General features: G+C 36.3%; 1 protein-coding gene across 17 annotated transcripts in view, besides 1 other annotated feature; it reads left to right on the forward strand.

Annotated features, from left to right (window-relative positions):
- The window catches only part of SYT16 (synaptotagmin 16), a 300,664-nt gene that overhangs the window by 208,200 nt on the left and 76,632 nt on the right, over positions 1-15,832 (forward strand). The window lies entirely within an intron of this gene.
- Positions 8,630-8,679: a silencer, noted in NCBI's record as "silent region_5826". NCBI's record gives its function as "represses an Ori minimal core promoter by ATAC-STARR-seq in GM12878 lymphoblastoid cells {active_cell/tissue: GM12878}" and the evidence as "EXISTENCE:reporter gene assay evidence [ECO:0000049][PMID:35858748]".

Raw genomic sequence — 15,832 nt, forward strand, 5'->3', positions numbered from 1 at the left:
TGTCACTTAATTTTAGGAAAGCACATGTGATCCTACCGCATACACCTCTCCCTCTCCCTCTTTCTGTCCTCTTCTCTCTCCGTCTTTAGAATAGTTCCTAAAGTTACCCATACATTTGCCCAGGAATTGTTGAATTGAATTTGGAGGGTTCAGTTGCAAAGTTTTCCACATTTTCCAAGGGAGGAGGGGGACAAAAGGTAACGGAGATTCCCTTTCAACTCTTAAAAAGTTGTCCATGTTTTCATTTCCCTCTCTCCAATTCGTTTTCACCAGCCAGCAGTGGGCTCTTTCCACCTGGTTCTGACTTTGGTTAAACTCAGGGAATCTCGGCGAAGCTTAGCTAAAATTCCTGGTGGGCGTCAGGAGCCTCCTAGGATCAAGCTGGAGATTTCTAAGCGAGCATAACCACTGTGATGGTTGGGGCACCGCATGTCCCCAGTGCTGGCACACACCACCTATGCTGCTTGGCAGTGACCATGGGCATGATCCATGCAGCCACATGGCTTCTCAGGATGCAGGTGGCTTGAGAAAGAGCAAAGCTGTGAAGGTTCACACTCATAAGTGGTGACATTTTATTCTTTCTTGGAGTGTGAGCTGTTTCTGATTTTTAAAAAACCTGTGTACCTGCTCTCTATGTCGGTGCCCTGCTCATGGTTTTATTCTGTGTTGGAAATTTTCTTCTTAATTCCTCTCCTAAGAACTCATCTTGTATTATAATAATTATTAAGGCTTTTTGTGATGTTCTGTAAATATTTTTCCAAATATGCTTTTATAGAGTGTGAGTTGATCATTTTGAGGGGATGATTATTCCATTGCTTTTACGGTCACAATCACTCCAGAAGGCAAGAGTAAAATCCAAAATAAGTTTTATTGCATTTTCTAAGGCATTGCTTGGAATTTGCCTAGTGGGCAGAATGGAGTGGTGGTCTTTGTTGTTCTGGTGTAAGTGTGGTCTTAGGTGGGTGTTACCTCCTTGGCTGTCATGGGTGTGGCCTTCTTATTAATCCTTCCTCTTTCTCAGATGTAGGAGACATCTCATGACCTGGGCCCAGGCTCTATTCCTGCCACTCTACAGTGTTAGAGGTTGAGGTTATTTTATTTTATTATTATTATTTTTTTTTCGGTTGTTGTTTTTTTCCTGTTCCCTTTCCCCAGTTGCAGAGGTCTTCAACTGTGCCCAAAAGCCAACAGGATTTTCTGTCCTTCCCCCAATGGCTTAAGTCTATTTTTTCCTAGGAAAGATGGACAAGAATCTGTGTAGATTTAGTGCTGTTTTCCACAGTGCCTGCTGTTTCCCTCTACCAAGAATGGACTAAAAGGGAGGCTTTCTCTAGTCTCTCCCTCAGCCCCCAGTCTTTCTCATTAGCATCCAGTGAAGGTGGTTGAGAAGAGTCTGTGAGTGGGTGTAAATTTCTATTTTGTCTGCAGCTCCTAGAAGTTTTGTGCTCTCTTGCTAACTCATACTTGGTCTTTAGCAGTCTGTTAAAACTTTTAGCTGAAATTCTTCCTAATGGCTTGTCAGGGGTCCACTGTCTGTCTCAGGTAAGCAAATTCTAGTATCTTGTCTCCCTTTGGAGGCTCCTGTCTTTTCTTAAATTTTGGGTTATTTTGGTTGCCCTAAAAGCCAAGTGCTTTCTAATGGGTTCAATAAAAGTTATAATTTTGCAAATCTCTTCTTTTTCTTTTTTTTTTTTAAGGAGTGGGAGACAATCTTTTCCAATGGGAAGAGTATTATAATTCTTGTTAGTCAGTATTTTATATCTACCTACACATGTACTCAATCTTCCCTTCTACATTTCCATAATTCCATATGAGACTGTTTTCTGTTAGCTTCAAAAATTCCATTTAGTACTTCTCATAGTGCCAGTTTGCTGGTTATGAATTTCTTAGCATATATGTGTTTGAAATGTATTTTCCTTTATTTTTGAAGTAAAATTCTGAATTGGTAGTTCTTTTTTTGTTTCAGCACTTTAAATATATCATTGCATTGTCTTCCAGCTTTGAAATTTTTTGTTGAATATTTAGACCTCATTCTTATTGTTCTTTTGAAGCTAATATTCTGTTCTGCACTGGCTGTTTCTGCGAGTTCTCTTTGTTTTCTTAAGCAGTTTTACCATGATGTATTTAGGTGTGATCTGCTTTTTATTTATCTTGATTTCGTGTTTGATGTTTCATTCATTTTGGAGAATTTTTGGCCCCTATTTCTTCAGATATTGCTTCTGCCACATTTCCTTTTCTCCTTCTATAATTTGTATTACACACACACACACACACACAGACATATGTATATATGTCATACACTATTTGTGCTTTTTTTACTATCCGGTTTTAAAAAATGTACTTCAGTGTAGGCATTTTCAGTTTGCTTATTTTCTGCTTTGCTTTGTCTAATCTGCCATTGGGTTCATCAATTGGATTATTTCACTTAGCAATAATTGTGTACTCATTGGCTATGATACTGCCACTGTGCAAAGCTATCAATTGGATTCTTAATTTTAGTTATAGAATACTTTTAAGTTCTAGATTTTCCATTTGAGTCCCCTTATAAACAGATTCTACATCTCTATTTAAATATTCATGCTTAAAAAATTTTAAAAACATATTAATCTTAATAATTTTAAAGTCCTTGTCTGATAACTTCATTGTTAGAATTGCTTGTGGTTCTATTTCTGTTGACTGATTTTCTCTTCGGTTTTATGTCATTTGGTACTGTTTTTTCAGTAAGCCCAGTAATTTGTGACTTACTGCCAAACATTGTGCATCAAAAATTGTTGAGGCTGTCCATGATTTTTTCTTCTTTTTCCCTGCTGGCTGGGAGCTGGAATACCAGTGGATTACCTTGACACTTTCAAGGGCTTATTTTAGGCTTTGTTTGGGTAGGTTTATTGCAGTCTTACCTTTGTTCTTAGAGATGGCTCTTATTGCTAACCTGCAGTGCCTCACATCTCAATGAAAGTCCAAGTATTTATCAAGTGTACTTTACCTTAGTAGAATTTGACCACCAAACTCTGACTTCCCCCAAACATACAGGTGATAAAATCTCTGCTTAGCTTTTTAGTTTCCCAGCTGCCAGCTTAGGAATTGGCCAACAACTTGGGGGAAATTTTTACTCATATTTTTGGGTTCACTCTTCTGTGCTTACCTACTCCCAGGAATTTTGTCCCAGCTGCTTTGGCTGATTTTACCATTTTCTCTTCATCTCTAGTTCCCCATGGTGGAATTTTGAACAGTGCTCCCAAGGAAATAGTTGAAGTGAATGTGTAGATTACCTTCAGTGCTTTTCTTCTCTCAAGGATCATAGATTCTTAAGTCCTACCTGTGCCAGTTGTTCTTGAATAGCTTCAAAATTTTGTTCAAACAATTGTGTATATTTTTTCATTCAGCTTTTAGAGGTGGCTTTTGTGGGATGGTTATTCTGATAAAAGGTACTCCATCCTTAGTTTTTTAATCGTGTAGTCTTGCTACCTTGCAAACATGTCCTGTTTATCTTATCTTTAACCAAACATTGGTAGTGTATTCTTTTTCAAACATGTGCTAGTCTTGGCTGTTTGATTCTAAAGTTTATATGGGAAAATGTTTTATCAATTTCCCATAAAAACCTTATTGTGTTTATCTAATATAAAAAGTAGAGGAAGAAATGGTGTCTTTAAAATATGCCTTTCCACTTAGGAATGTGGAATATTTTCTGAATTTTTTCCTGTTACCCTTTTACAAATATTAGTAAAACAGCTCAGATATGAACAATATCTTTATGGTCATAATAATATAAATAGCAACTGTTGACTTAATGAAAAATTTTGTATATAATATTTGGACAAAGGTGGAAGAGAATGGAAGTCGTGCAAAATAGCTAGAGTTTCATCTACCGCAGGAATTCTATAATATTCAAACTTGATAAGTGAAAAGTAGTAGTGTAAATATACTTAGAAAAATGAAGGTAAATACCAGAAGAATCAGCTCTAAGAGTTTAAAATATTGGCTGCAGAGGAGCAAAATTGCGAGGTGGGACAAAGGATTGCTATTTTTATTACTGATTACTACTCTTTTATTTAAGAAAAGTGATGTATGTGTATTATCCTTAAAATAAAAATTATGGAAAACAGATAGCTTTTTAGTTAATAGACTTTCTAGAGCAGTTTTAAGTTCCCAATAAAATTGATCGGAAAGTGCATAGTTCCCATACACCCTGTGTTCTCCATTTTCCCCCCACTATCATTCTTCTCCACCAGAGTGGTAGATTTATTACAATCAGTAAACCTGCAATGAAACATCATTATCACCCAAAGTCTAGAGTTTATATTAGCCTGCACTCTTGGTGTTGTATGTTCTATGATTTTTGACAAGTATATAATAATATGCATCTACCATTTATAGCATCATACATAATATTTTCACTGCTTTAAAAAATCTTCTGTGCTCTGCTTATTCATAACTCCCTCCTCACTAACCCCTGACAACCACTGATCTTTTTACTGTTTCTATAATTTTGTCTTTACCAGAATGTTATATAGTTGGACTTATATAGTATATAGGTGTTTCACGTGGGCTTTTTTCACCTATAGTATACATTTAAGATTTCTCCATATCTTTTCATGGCTTGATAGCTAATTTCTTTTCAGGGCTGTATAATATTCCATTATCTAGATGTAACAGTTTATGTATCCATTCACCTACTGAAGGACATCTTGGTTGCTTCTAAATTTTGGCAATTATAAATAAAGCTGCTATAAATATCCGTGTACAGGTTTTTGTGTAGACGTGTTTTCAATTCTTTTGGACAAATACACAATTGTTGTATCATATAGTGAAATCTTAGTTTTGTAAGAGGCTGCCACACTGTCTTCCAAAGTGGTTATACCATTTTGCATTCCCTCCAACAATGAATGAAAGTTCCTGTTGCTTCACATCCTTGCCAGCATTTACCATTTCTAATAAGTATGTAGTAGTGTCTTATTGGTGTTTTAATTTGTAGCCCCTGAATGATGTATGAGGGTGAGTGTATTTTCCTATGCTTATTTGCCATTGGTATATATTTTCTGGTGGGTTATCTATTCAAACATTCTGCCCATTTTTAATTGGGTTTTTCATTTCCTTACTGTTGAGTTTTAAGAGTTGTCTGTATACTTTAGAAAACAATCGTTTATCAGATATATCTTTCACAGATATTTCCTCTCAGTCTGTGGCATGTCTTATGGTTCTCTTGACAGTGTGTTTTGCAGAGCAGATGTTTTTAATTTAATGCAGTCCAATTTATTATTTATTTCATGGATTGTGCCTTTGGTGAAATGTTTATTTTTTTCATAATTTTTTGTATATTTTTATGTTATCCAGCCCCAAAATGTCAAAAATATTTCTAAGTGTTTCATTTTGGGGGGTGCTAATGTAAGTGGTATTCTATTTTAAATTTCAAATTTATTGCTGGTCTATTTTAGTTTTATTGTTGGTATATAGGAAGGCAGTTGACTTTTGAATACTAACCTTGTACTCTGCACCCTTGCCATAGTCACTTGCAAATTGTTAAAAAAAAAACAATAAAATATTTCTCTAATTACATTTTTCTATTGGATCAAATGATACATATTAATTGCTAATATTAAACTATTCTTGAATTCTTGAGGTAAACCTTATTTGGTTATGTGTGGTGATTCTCCAAGTTTGCTACACTTTGCTGTCTTCATTAAAAAATTAGGTAGCTTTTCTTTTATATGCCTTATAGTAAATTATTACATGTAATGTAGTATCTGAGCCCTCAAAGTTTGGAGTAGCTCTTTGTCCCTGTCTTTTTGTTTGCTTAGCAACCTGCCCTTTTCCTTAAGTATAGCATGGATCACAATGAGTGGGGGGAATGTCTCCCATGATCCATACAATTGTCATATCAAAGTATATTTCAAACTGTTGCAATTACCCATTTTCTTAATCTGTTTATGTTGCTATAACTAAATACTTGAGACTGAGTAATTTATAAAGAAAAGACATTTATTTCTCACAGTTCTGGAGGTTGGGATATCCAAGATCAAGGCACTGGTATCTGGTGTCTGGTGTCTGGTGAAGGCCTTCTTGCTGCATCCTCACATGGCAGAAGGTGGAAGGGCAAGAGAGCAAATTCACTGAGTGAGCTCACTATGTGAAGCCTCTTTTGTAAGTGTCTTAGTCCTATTCAGGAAGGAGGAGCCCTCATGGCCTAATCACCTCTTAAAGTCCCCACCTCTTAATACTACCACTTTGGCAACACCTGGATTTTGAAGGAGACACAGTCAAACCATAGCCCCCATTTTCTTTTCTCTTTCATTTGCTAGTTTCTAAGCTTTGTAGAGGCAGCAGCATGTCTGTCTTGGTTACTACTGTAACATCAGAGCCAGTATACCGCATAGCATGTAGAAGGTACTCAGAGAATATATGAGAATAAATGAATAACAGCTTCTCCTTCTAGTAATGTATTGGCTTTTCCTTTAAGACCAAGTATAGGTACTTTGACACTTTAAAATTAGGTGTCCTTTTTGCTTTTAAGAGATGAAGTTTTATGTACCTGAAGCTATTAGTTATATTTTTATTTTCAACTACTTTTTTGCCTGCTTGATCTTTCAGAGACTTAAAATGTTTTTTTAATGCATGTCTTAAATGTTTTTTATACATTTCAATGCTGTGTGTCTCCGCAAAATTGTTTATGATGCTGATGTCTTCATTGCGAATTTTGTCTTTTATCCTTTGTAAAACTAACTTCTCTGTCATTTAATGCTCTTTGCCTTAAATTTATCTTTTTCTGAAATTAGCCTTTATTTCATTAAAAATAGGTGGGAAAATGAGAGAAAGTTCCCTGAGAGCTTCTTACTTTTCCTGTTTCCTCCCCTTAGCATCTGTGACTGCAGTATATGGCTTCCCATCCTAATTCAGCCTTGACCATGTTATGTCTCTGATAGCCATGCTTTCCAAAATGAATGTAGATCCAATGATATCGATGTAGGACCAAGAAAGAGAATGGCTGTAGCCATCTCAGAAGTAGAGCCCAAGAAGAGAGATGGAGAGGAACCTCAGTTTCTGGTTGGTAGCTCTAGACCTAGGTCTGTATAAGGGCACATGGAAGGGATGGGTATAAGCAAAGCTTTTACATCCAGACAGTATTCTGACAGGTTGTTACCTATGTTTCATTGACTGTTTAAAAATGTTTACTATCATCCTTCTCTCACTAGATATTCCATTTTTTATACTGAAGCATGAGTTGGTTGTTCATTGTATTTCAGTCCAGCCTTACATGCACCACAGTAATACTCTCAGAGGTGACATATCACTGATCACTATCCTTTGGTTCCTGCAGCACCAAGACCTTGCATGTTTTATGTTATGTTGGGAGTTTCACTGTCTTTGACCTGCCCATTGAATCAGACATGGATCCCTGATTGGAAATACATCTCAAGTCTGTAGTCAGCCATGTTTAATTTGAGTCTTGTGTTCTCCTTTTTTGCCTTCCCCAAGCTGCTTGAAAAGAGCCTTTTTATTTCAGAGGGAACTTTATATTTTGTGCAGGCGGTGTATTTCTGAAATGTTGCTCATTTTTATTGCAGACTTCTTCACTGCTGGGGGTTGTGCCAAATGTGGGATTTGATTCCTTGGGAAAGAGAAACCTCTGAGTTTTATATGCCAGAAAGTGTTATTACCCTTATCCTTCTTATCACTGAAGGCTGTGATGTTCCATCTGAGGTTCTCTATATTGAGAAGACAGCTCTGTGTCCTTCCTGGCCTGGCTGGGTTTTGGAAGGCAGAATTTGCTCAGTTGTGTTATGCCATTATATGATGTGCTGACTAGTCATTTATGTTTGGCTTCTACCTTCAATTGATTGTCTTGCAATGGTTTGATTAGAGCCCCAAACACAGTGGGTTGTGCATTTACTAAGTTGTATTGGACAGTGTTGTGGTTGGGATGACAATGATTATAATCACTATCGCTTCCTGAAAGCCTGCTTACTGTACGAGTTCTAAATGCTTTATGTACACTAAATCATTCAATCCTCCCAACAATTCTGTAAATACTATTAACTCCATTTTACAAAAGAGGAAGCTGAGGCACAGAGCATTTAAACTTACCAGGGTCACACAGCTCATATTTGACAGACCAAGATTTGAATATAGGCAGCCTGTCTCTTAACCACAATGTTATGGTCTCTCTATACAGAATTAACTGTGAAATTCCTCTGTTCATTTAAACTTTTAGGTGAGTTGGAAAAATTTTTATATTAATTTATGTGTTAATTATAAGTGTCAAAGTAGGATTAAGGTTTACCTGAAAAGGCTAATTAAGGAGAACAGGTTTATGACTGAATGGGAAAAGACATTAAAATGTTACCATTCTGAGAGACCAAAGTCTTATGTTCTTCTATTGTACAACTAGTGCTGAAATAAATACTCTTTTTTTAAAAAAAAGTAAACCCCATACTATTTTTAATTGAGTTTAAAAGATAATTGTAAAAGAAAATTTACAATTAATTTATAACTATGAACTTGAAAGTATTGTGCATAATGACAGTACCTTAAAGTGTAATTCAGAAAAAGTAGGAGAAACTGAGTGGAATTTATCAGGTGAAATCAAAGACAAATGTGGAATGTTTTAACATTAAGTTCTGGGAACTATTTCTTAATACTGAAAGTAGCTATCCTATCCCTCAGTGCAAAATTCAGAATGAGGCCAGAGTAGCAAGCTTTGCATAACTACTTTTCATCTGAGTGGTTCCCATAGGGCCAGCCTGAGCATCACAGTTAAGAATGAAATGGTTCTTTTTTCTCCCCTGCAACTTTGAGACAGTCCCGCTCTGTTGTCCAGGCTGGAGTGCAGTGGCATGATCTCAGCTCACTGCAACCTCTGCCTCCCCGGTTCAAGTGATTCTTGTGCCTCAGCCTCCTGAGTAGCTGGGATTAAAGGCACCCACCATCACACCTGGTTGTGAAGTGGTCCCTTTGGAGCACAGTCTTGGGTGAATGTGGGAGGAAAAGGAGATAGAAAGAGCATCATGTTCTTCCAATACTTGGGGCAGCCATGTTTCATGCTGGGAATAGGCGTCGGGCTTTTCCACTGCACCTGCTTGAGCGAATAGCGGTGCCCACTGGTGGTTTTCTGTTGATTGTGAAGACTCTTGATGAGTGTATGGAGATCATTTGGAACTCTAAAAATGACATGTTACACTTCCTTTCGGGAGTTCTATTCCCAGAATAGCACAGTTCTTTGAAATCCTCATTTAAATGAGCCTCATGATTTGTGGAAGGTGAGAATGCACACACCTGCTTTGCAAATTGATAAACTATGCCCTAAATTCATAACAGGTGGTTTGCTTGAAGTAGAGTAGTGAGTCAGCAGTGGGGCTATCAATAGAATCCAGTCAATAGTTCTGTCGCTCACCCTCTGACCTCGCTTTTGATGTTAGTCTAGTTGGAAAAAAAAAAAAGTAGTAGGAGGAGATTGATGGTTTTATCAGCTGAGGCCATTGCCTTTCTCTGTGTGTATGTGTGTGTACACATTGATATGTTTGTGTGTGTTTCTGTGTTTGCCTGTGTTTTCTGAATCATTTTTGCCAAGTGGTATCTTCTTCCTACTTCCCAGATGGTAGTTCTGATTTTTTTTCTTTTGGAAATTGCTCACAAATCAGAAGGCTTCACTTGCCAGTTGACAGATTTTAACAGCAGCTGGTAGCTGACCACCCTCCACCACCCATCCCTCCCACCTTCTTCCATGAAGAGGCATCAGGAGATAGCACAGATAAGCTGTAAGATGTTTAGCTTTGTTAAGGAGGTTAGGACAGTAGGAAAATTTGACCATTATTGAAAATATTCAATACAAAGCCAAACTGAAATGTATCTTTCTGCTCAGATTAAAGCCATTTTTGCCAATGTCTCTGACTCCGTATTTTGATCAATTCCTTTTCAGTCGCATGGTAGTTTTGTCCGCTTATATCATCCTGCCGGGAAAAAAATTAGTTTTGAAAGTGTTTTAAACAGAACTTACTCAGAGAATATTGAAAATGCAACCATTGTGATGTTGATGTTATGCGATGGATCCTCTGTGTGGAAATCGTTCTGAAATGTCTTTGGATGATGAATTGTACGGAGACAAGTGTGGCCTCAATTTACCTTAATTTGTTGGGAAATAAGAGATACATAGAACTACACCAGTCCAAATCCCATCTAGATTTGTGCTATACATTTTGTTTATTACTCTCACTTTCTCTTTCACACAATTGCAGTTGAACTACCTGTTTCACTTCTTGCCAGGAGCAGAATGTAGCTCTGATCAGTCTGCCATAGGTATAAAGGTTTTTGTTTTTCATTTGGTTATTTGTTAATCACATTCAAAGGTGGCTTTAACCTTTCTCTCAATTAGCCAAGAGTGTATTATCATTGATTGAATTCAAGCATTGATGAAACAAAATGGATTTTCAGACAGTGGCCTTTTGTATTTATAAAATGAAAGCTGCAAAGAAAGGAAATCAAAGCCATAATTTATCTGTTGCATTTGGTTATTAATAAGCACCAGAGATGCCATATCATTTGATTTCAGGTTGAATAATGTGCTCCCAGACTATGTGGGATTGAAGCCTAGGCTACTTTGAGCCTGCTAACTTAGCTGCCTCAGTTTCCTTATCTATAAAATGCAGGAAATAATAGTGCCTGCCTCACAGTATTGCTGTGAGAATTACATGGGATGTTTGTAAAGCACATAAGCTATACGACATAGACTTTCTTGAACTGTTAAAACCTGCTTTGTGTAATATTTTGCAAGTTTGCTTTAAAGTCTCTTTGAAAATATATGGCTTGTGTTAAAAAATGGAAGGCCACAATGCATAAATAAATACAAGCCTCCTCCCTATATGAAACACAACCATGCCTTTAAAACTGATTCCTATTTGGTTGAGTTCAGAGAAAGAGACTTGCCAATCTGGATTTCGAATGAGCTAAACCGCATTAATTTGCTGGTCTATTCACATTTAGCACAAACACTATAGTTAGAAAAACACTGTGGAGCTGTTCAGAAATGGAGATGATGTTCACAGTGTATTTTAAAGGTGGAAGAAAATAGTTCAACTTCATTTGAAAGGCAAATAGCTACTAATCTATGTGAACAGGTAGTTGAACTTTCGGGCATCTTTTCCCTTCTACTAATCATGAAAACAAGAGGGGCAAATGTGAGCCTGGAAGTGAGAAGAATCACAGTGTTTTAGAGCTAAAAGTAAGTTAAAATCCAGGAGAGTCCCCTCATTACTGTCGAGGAAACTGAGACCTGGAGAATATATAATAGTGAACTTGCTGTAAACCACATGATTAGGTGGTGACAGGGAGCAGACCTTATGATTCATGTAATGACTCAATATAAGCTCAACTCCCTGGGTAAATTAAAACATCTAGGTAAGATGGTAACTTACAATTGATCAATCCTTGACACCGGGGAAACAAGCCTTGTACTGGAATTAATAGTGGGTGGTGTCTGTATCAGAGTTTCACCCAAAGAGGAAGGCTTTAAGTGTTTCTGCTACTGAAAGACTGTTGCGATAAGGGAGGGCCTATACAGAGACGATGGACTTCATCTGAACCCTAAAAGCAAGAGGCTGTAGATACTAAAATCTAAGAAAGGCAGCAGCACAATTTGCAGACTATAAAAATGGAAGGGAATTTAATGGAGTACAGAATATCAGGTGAATTGCCTTGACAATGGCTAGAGAGGTTAGAAGGAAATTCGGTGGCTTGGATGACGAAAACGGGAATGATGAATTAAATGACCCAGTAAGTTGAGTGAAAAGAAAGCATGTGACATTGAAGGAAACTCAAGTTACAAAAGAAGGGTAGAAGCTTAAAAGAAAAGAGGGAGAATGTTGGCATGATTGCTAGCACCTGAACATCTTAATAAAATTTAAAATTCCATAGAAATGTAGGATGCTATTAAGGTAATTTTGTCATTTTCTTCACTATGGTAAAACCATTTAGTCTTTGTGGCTTTTAATTCCTTTCTTGGTAAGATAAGAGTTAGAATAGTATACCATCCTAAAAGTCTGTTAGTCTATGACATTTAAAAGAATCAAGGATCATTTTCTTGACTCCTGCAAGCAGTGGCAATTTTGAATCTATTATTTTGTAATATCCATTAGCTTAGGATGGTTTTCTGTACCTAATACACAGAAAATTCTTACTTGAATTTATGAATATATTAGTTATTTGAGCTTATAAAAATGAATTCACATAGGGTAATGATACTGAATAATGACAATGATATTTTAGCTGTAAATTCCTAATTAGTTTTGCAAGCAAAACTCTCATCCGGAAGTTTTGGAAATCTGATTAAACATAATATTGACAGATCGTGGAGCTTCTACAGTTAGTAAAAAAAAAAAATTAAGGTAAATTTAACAGATTAAAATGAACTTATTTAATTGGGGTGGAGGGAGGAGTGGTTGTTTCAGGACTAAAATATTTTGGTAAACACAATCTTTTTTTTTGTTACAGCCCATTTAGCTAATGAAAGTGTCACTACAATGAAAGAAATTTGTATCCCTAATTGTTTTGGGTATAAACCCATCTGAATTGGTTCACTTTTAATTCTAATTTTAGAAATATAGCAACTGTTAAATGCAAATCTAATACTAGATCATAAATTACAATTTAACAAACTTTGAAAAACATTTCATGAAATTAAGGTACCACTGAAGTTCAGTTAGCATACTAAACTTAAGGAAAAATATTTCTCGGTAAATATTTCAGAAAAAATACAATATAGAAAATAATAGATGGCTAAATATTGTATTTGATTTTAAATATTAAGGCAAGAGGACATCTTAAAAACCATAGGACAGTTGAAAAGTAAGTATATAGCTATTTTATAAATCAAAATAAGAATGTGTACTTCGGATTGTGTTATGAATGAAATCAACTGCATTTTTTTTTCTCCTGAAAGTCAAAGTGGAAATAAAATATTTGACAATATGACTGATAAGTGTATAAATCTTGGTTATCATATGAGGGATATCTTTCCTCCCCGGCCTGTTGCACAAAGCACAGGAACTGGCAAAATGTGGTCTATCCATCAAAGGGAATATTACTTGGTTATAAAAAAGGATACCTCACTTTTTAATTTTCAAAGCAAGAACACATATTCTGGAAGAAATTTAGTAATCATGAATCAGTTGAGTTGTTTTACAAGTTCATGAGCCAATGTGAAGAAAGAGAGTATATGAGAGCATGAGTGAGGTGGAACGGAGAGGGACTGAGTTAGTGCCCCATAGGAAATGGAAAGACATGAGAGCTGCTGTATGATTTATGAATATATAATTAATATCCAATGAAAAAACAGCCTTCTCATATCATACACACAATAAACTCAGACCCATAGACATAAATGTAAAAGTTAAAACAATAAAACTTTTAGAAAGAAACCTGAGAGTAAATCTTCATGACTTTGGGTTATGCAAAGCCATATTAGATATAACACTAAAAGCACAAGTGACAAAACAAAAAATTAGATATATTGGATGTTATTGAAATTCAGAATTTTTGTGCTGAAAATGATACGATGAGCAAAGTGAAAAGACAACCTAAAGAATGAGGGAAAGCACTTGCAAATTTTATATCTAGTAAGGGACATGCATCAAGAATGTGTAAAGAGTTATTACAGCTAAATAATAAAAAGCCCAATTAAAATGGGCAGAGAACTTGAATATGTCTATTTTTCTAAAGAAGATATACAAATGACCAATAAGTATATGAAAAAATACTCAACATTCTTAGCTATCAGAGCAAAGCAGATTGAAACCACTATGAGGTGCCACCTTGTACCCACCAGCAAGGCTGTAATAAAAAAGACAGATAATAACAAGTGTTGGTGAGGATGTGGAAAAATTGGAACCTTAATATACTGCTGGTGGGAATGTTAAATTGTTTAGCCCCTTTGGAAAATAGTATAGCAGTTCATCAACAGATTAAACATAGAGTTACCATAGAACCCAGCAGTGCCACTCCTAGGCATAAATTCAAGAGAAATGAAAACATATGTTCAAACAAAATCCTGTACATGAATATTCATAGTACCATCAGTCATAATAGCTGAAAAATGAACACAACCCAAATGTCCATCAACTGATGAATGCATCAACAAAATGTAGTCTATTCATCAAATGGAATATTACTTGGCTGTAAAAAGAATGAACTACTGACATATGCTACAACATGGGTGAAGCTTGGCAACATGCAAATGAAAGAAGTCAGTAACAAGAGGCCACATATTATATGACTCTTTTTTATATGCAATGTCCACAATAGGCCATTCCATATAGGCAGGAAGTAGATTATGCTGACTAGGGCTGAGGGGATGGGGGGATTCCAGGGGTGGGGGAGAATGGGTTGGTGACAGGTAGTAGATATGAGGTTTCCTTTTCGTGTGGTGAAAATGTGCTAAAATTGATTGTGATGGTTGCATAAGTCTGTACAACATTGTACTGTATACTTAAAATTGGTGAATTGTTATGTGATTATATATCAATAAAGCTGTTTTTTAAAAAAGGCTTCCTCACAAACAAAACAAAAACTGTTCCAGTTGATCTTCCAGAAAATGACAAAAGTTTTTCTGTCTGAGGGTGGATTTGACTGAGTGTCCTACCCCGAAAGCTTCTTAGTTTGCCTTGTGGCTTTGGTGTGACAGACAGTATTGTCTTTGAAGTGACCTTAAGTATTTACATATGTCCTCTGTTTTTCTGGTGCATTGGAAGGGTAATTTTTGAGTATGAAGGGTCAAATCTTCTGGGCACAGCTTGCCTCAAGAGCTCTGGTAGGTTCTTGTATGAAGGTTCTTTAACATGTTGCTAGACTCCCCTTAAATCCAATTTGGATCATGACCAGTTTTAGCATATATTCCAGAACTCAGCATGCAGCAGTTCCAAGGGCATGTAGCCCAGTTGTTTAGTATCTTATTTTTGAAAGTATGAATTCTTTCTATTTGTGCTGTGTACTGCTTTGATTTTTACTTTGTCCTAATTATTTGGTCAGACTATTCTCTTAATCTTTTTACCATTTTATAATAGCTCTTAAGAATGTTGAATCCACTTAAGAGAAAAAGAACATGAAGATAAAGGTTGGATACAATACGGGAAGAAAATAATGAAGGAATATATATTTAATTCCATCAAAGAGACATATATCAATTTCCAGGTTTAGGGAAGAGAAGTGAAAATAGACTAATAAAAACTAAATTTGATTAACAGGGTTTCACTGTTGTGCACAGAGCTCTTGCTTACCAATGGGTGTTGTTCCACGCATTGCTTTGTAAGCTATTTGGAACTTGAAAGACACTTTCCTATAAAAGTTGGGGCTAAAATCCAGAGCACAAAAGCCCATTTAATCTGAATTTCATGTATATCTGAATTTCAAGGTGAAGAGTCCTATAAAGACTAATGAAATATATAATTGATTCATTCAACAGATCCGTATTAAGCACCCATTGTGCTGGTTATGGTGATAGATGCTTTTCCATGTTAGATGCTCTTAGAATTCCTACTCCTCCAACTACAGTAGGATGGGGCTAATTAATTACTGCCTTCATTCAATAAATATTTATCGAGCAGCTGCTGTTGGGCTGACACTGTGCAAGCTATGTAGGCTCTGAGGATGCAGAGAGAGGGATCCTGCTTCTACTTTTAAGGAGCTGTCAGTCTGGTCAGGGGAATATTACAAGTAAAGGGAGAGCTTCAGATTATTTTGGTAAGTGCTTCCATAGGGGTAAGCACAGGGCGTAGGAGGAATGAAAATGAGGGAAAGGAACCCAAGCTGAGATTTGTTTTCTGTGGGAGGTGGAGAATAGATCTCAAAGCAG

The sequence above is a fragment of the Homo sapiens genome, chromosome 14, assembly GCF_000001405.40.
Source record: "Homo sapiens chromosome 14, GRCh38.p14 Primary Assembly".
Classification (NCBI taxonomy): domain Eukaryota; kingdom Metazoa; phylum Chordata; class Mammalia; order Primates; family Hominidae; genus Homo; species Homo sapiens.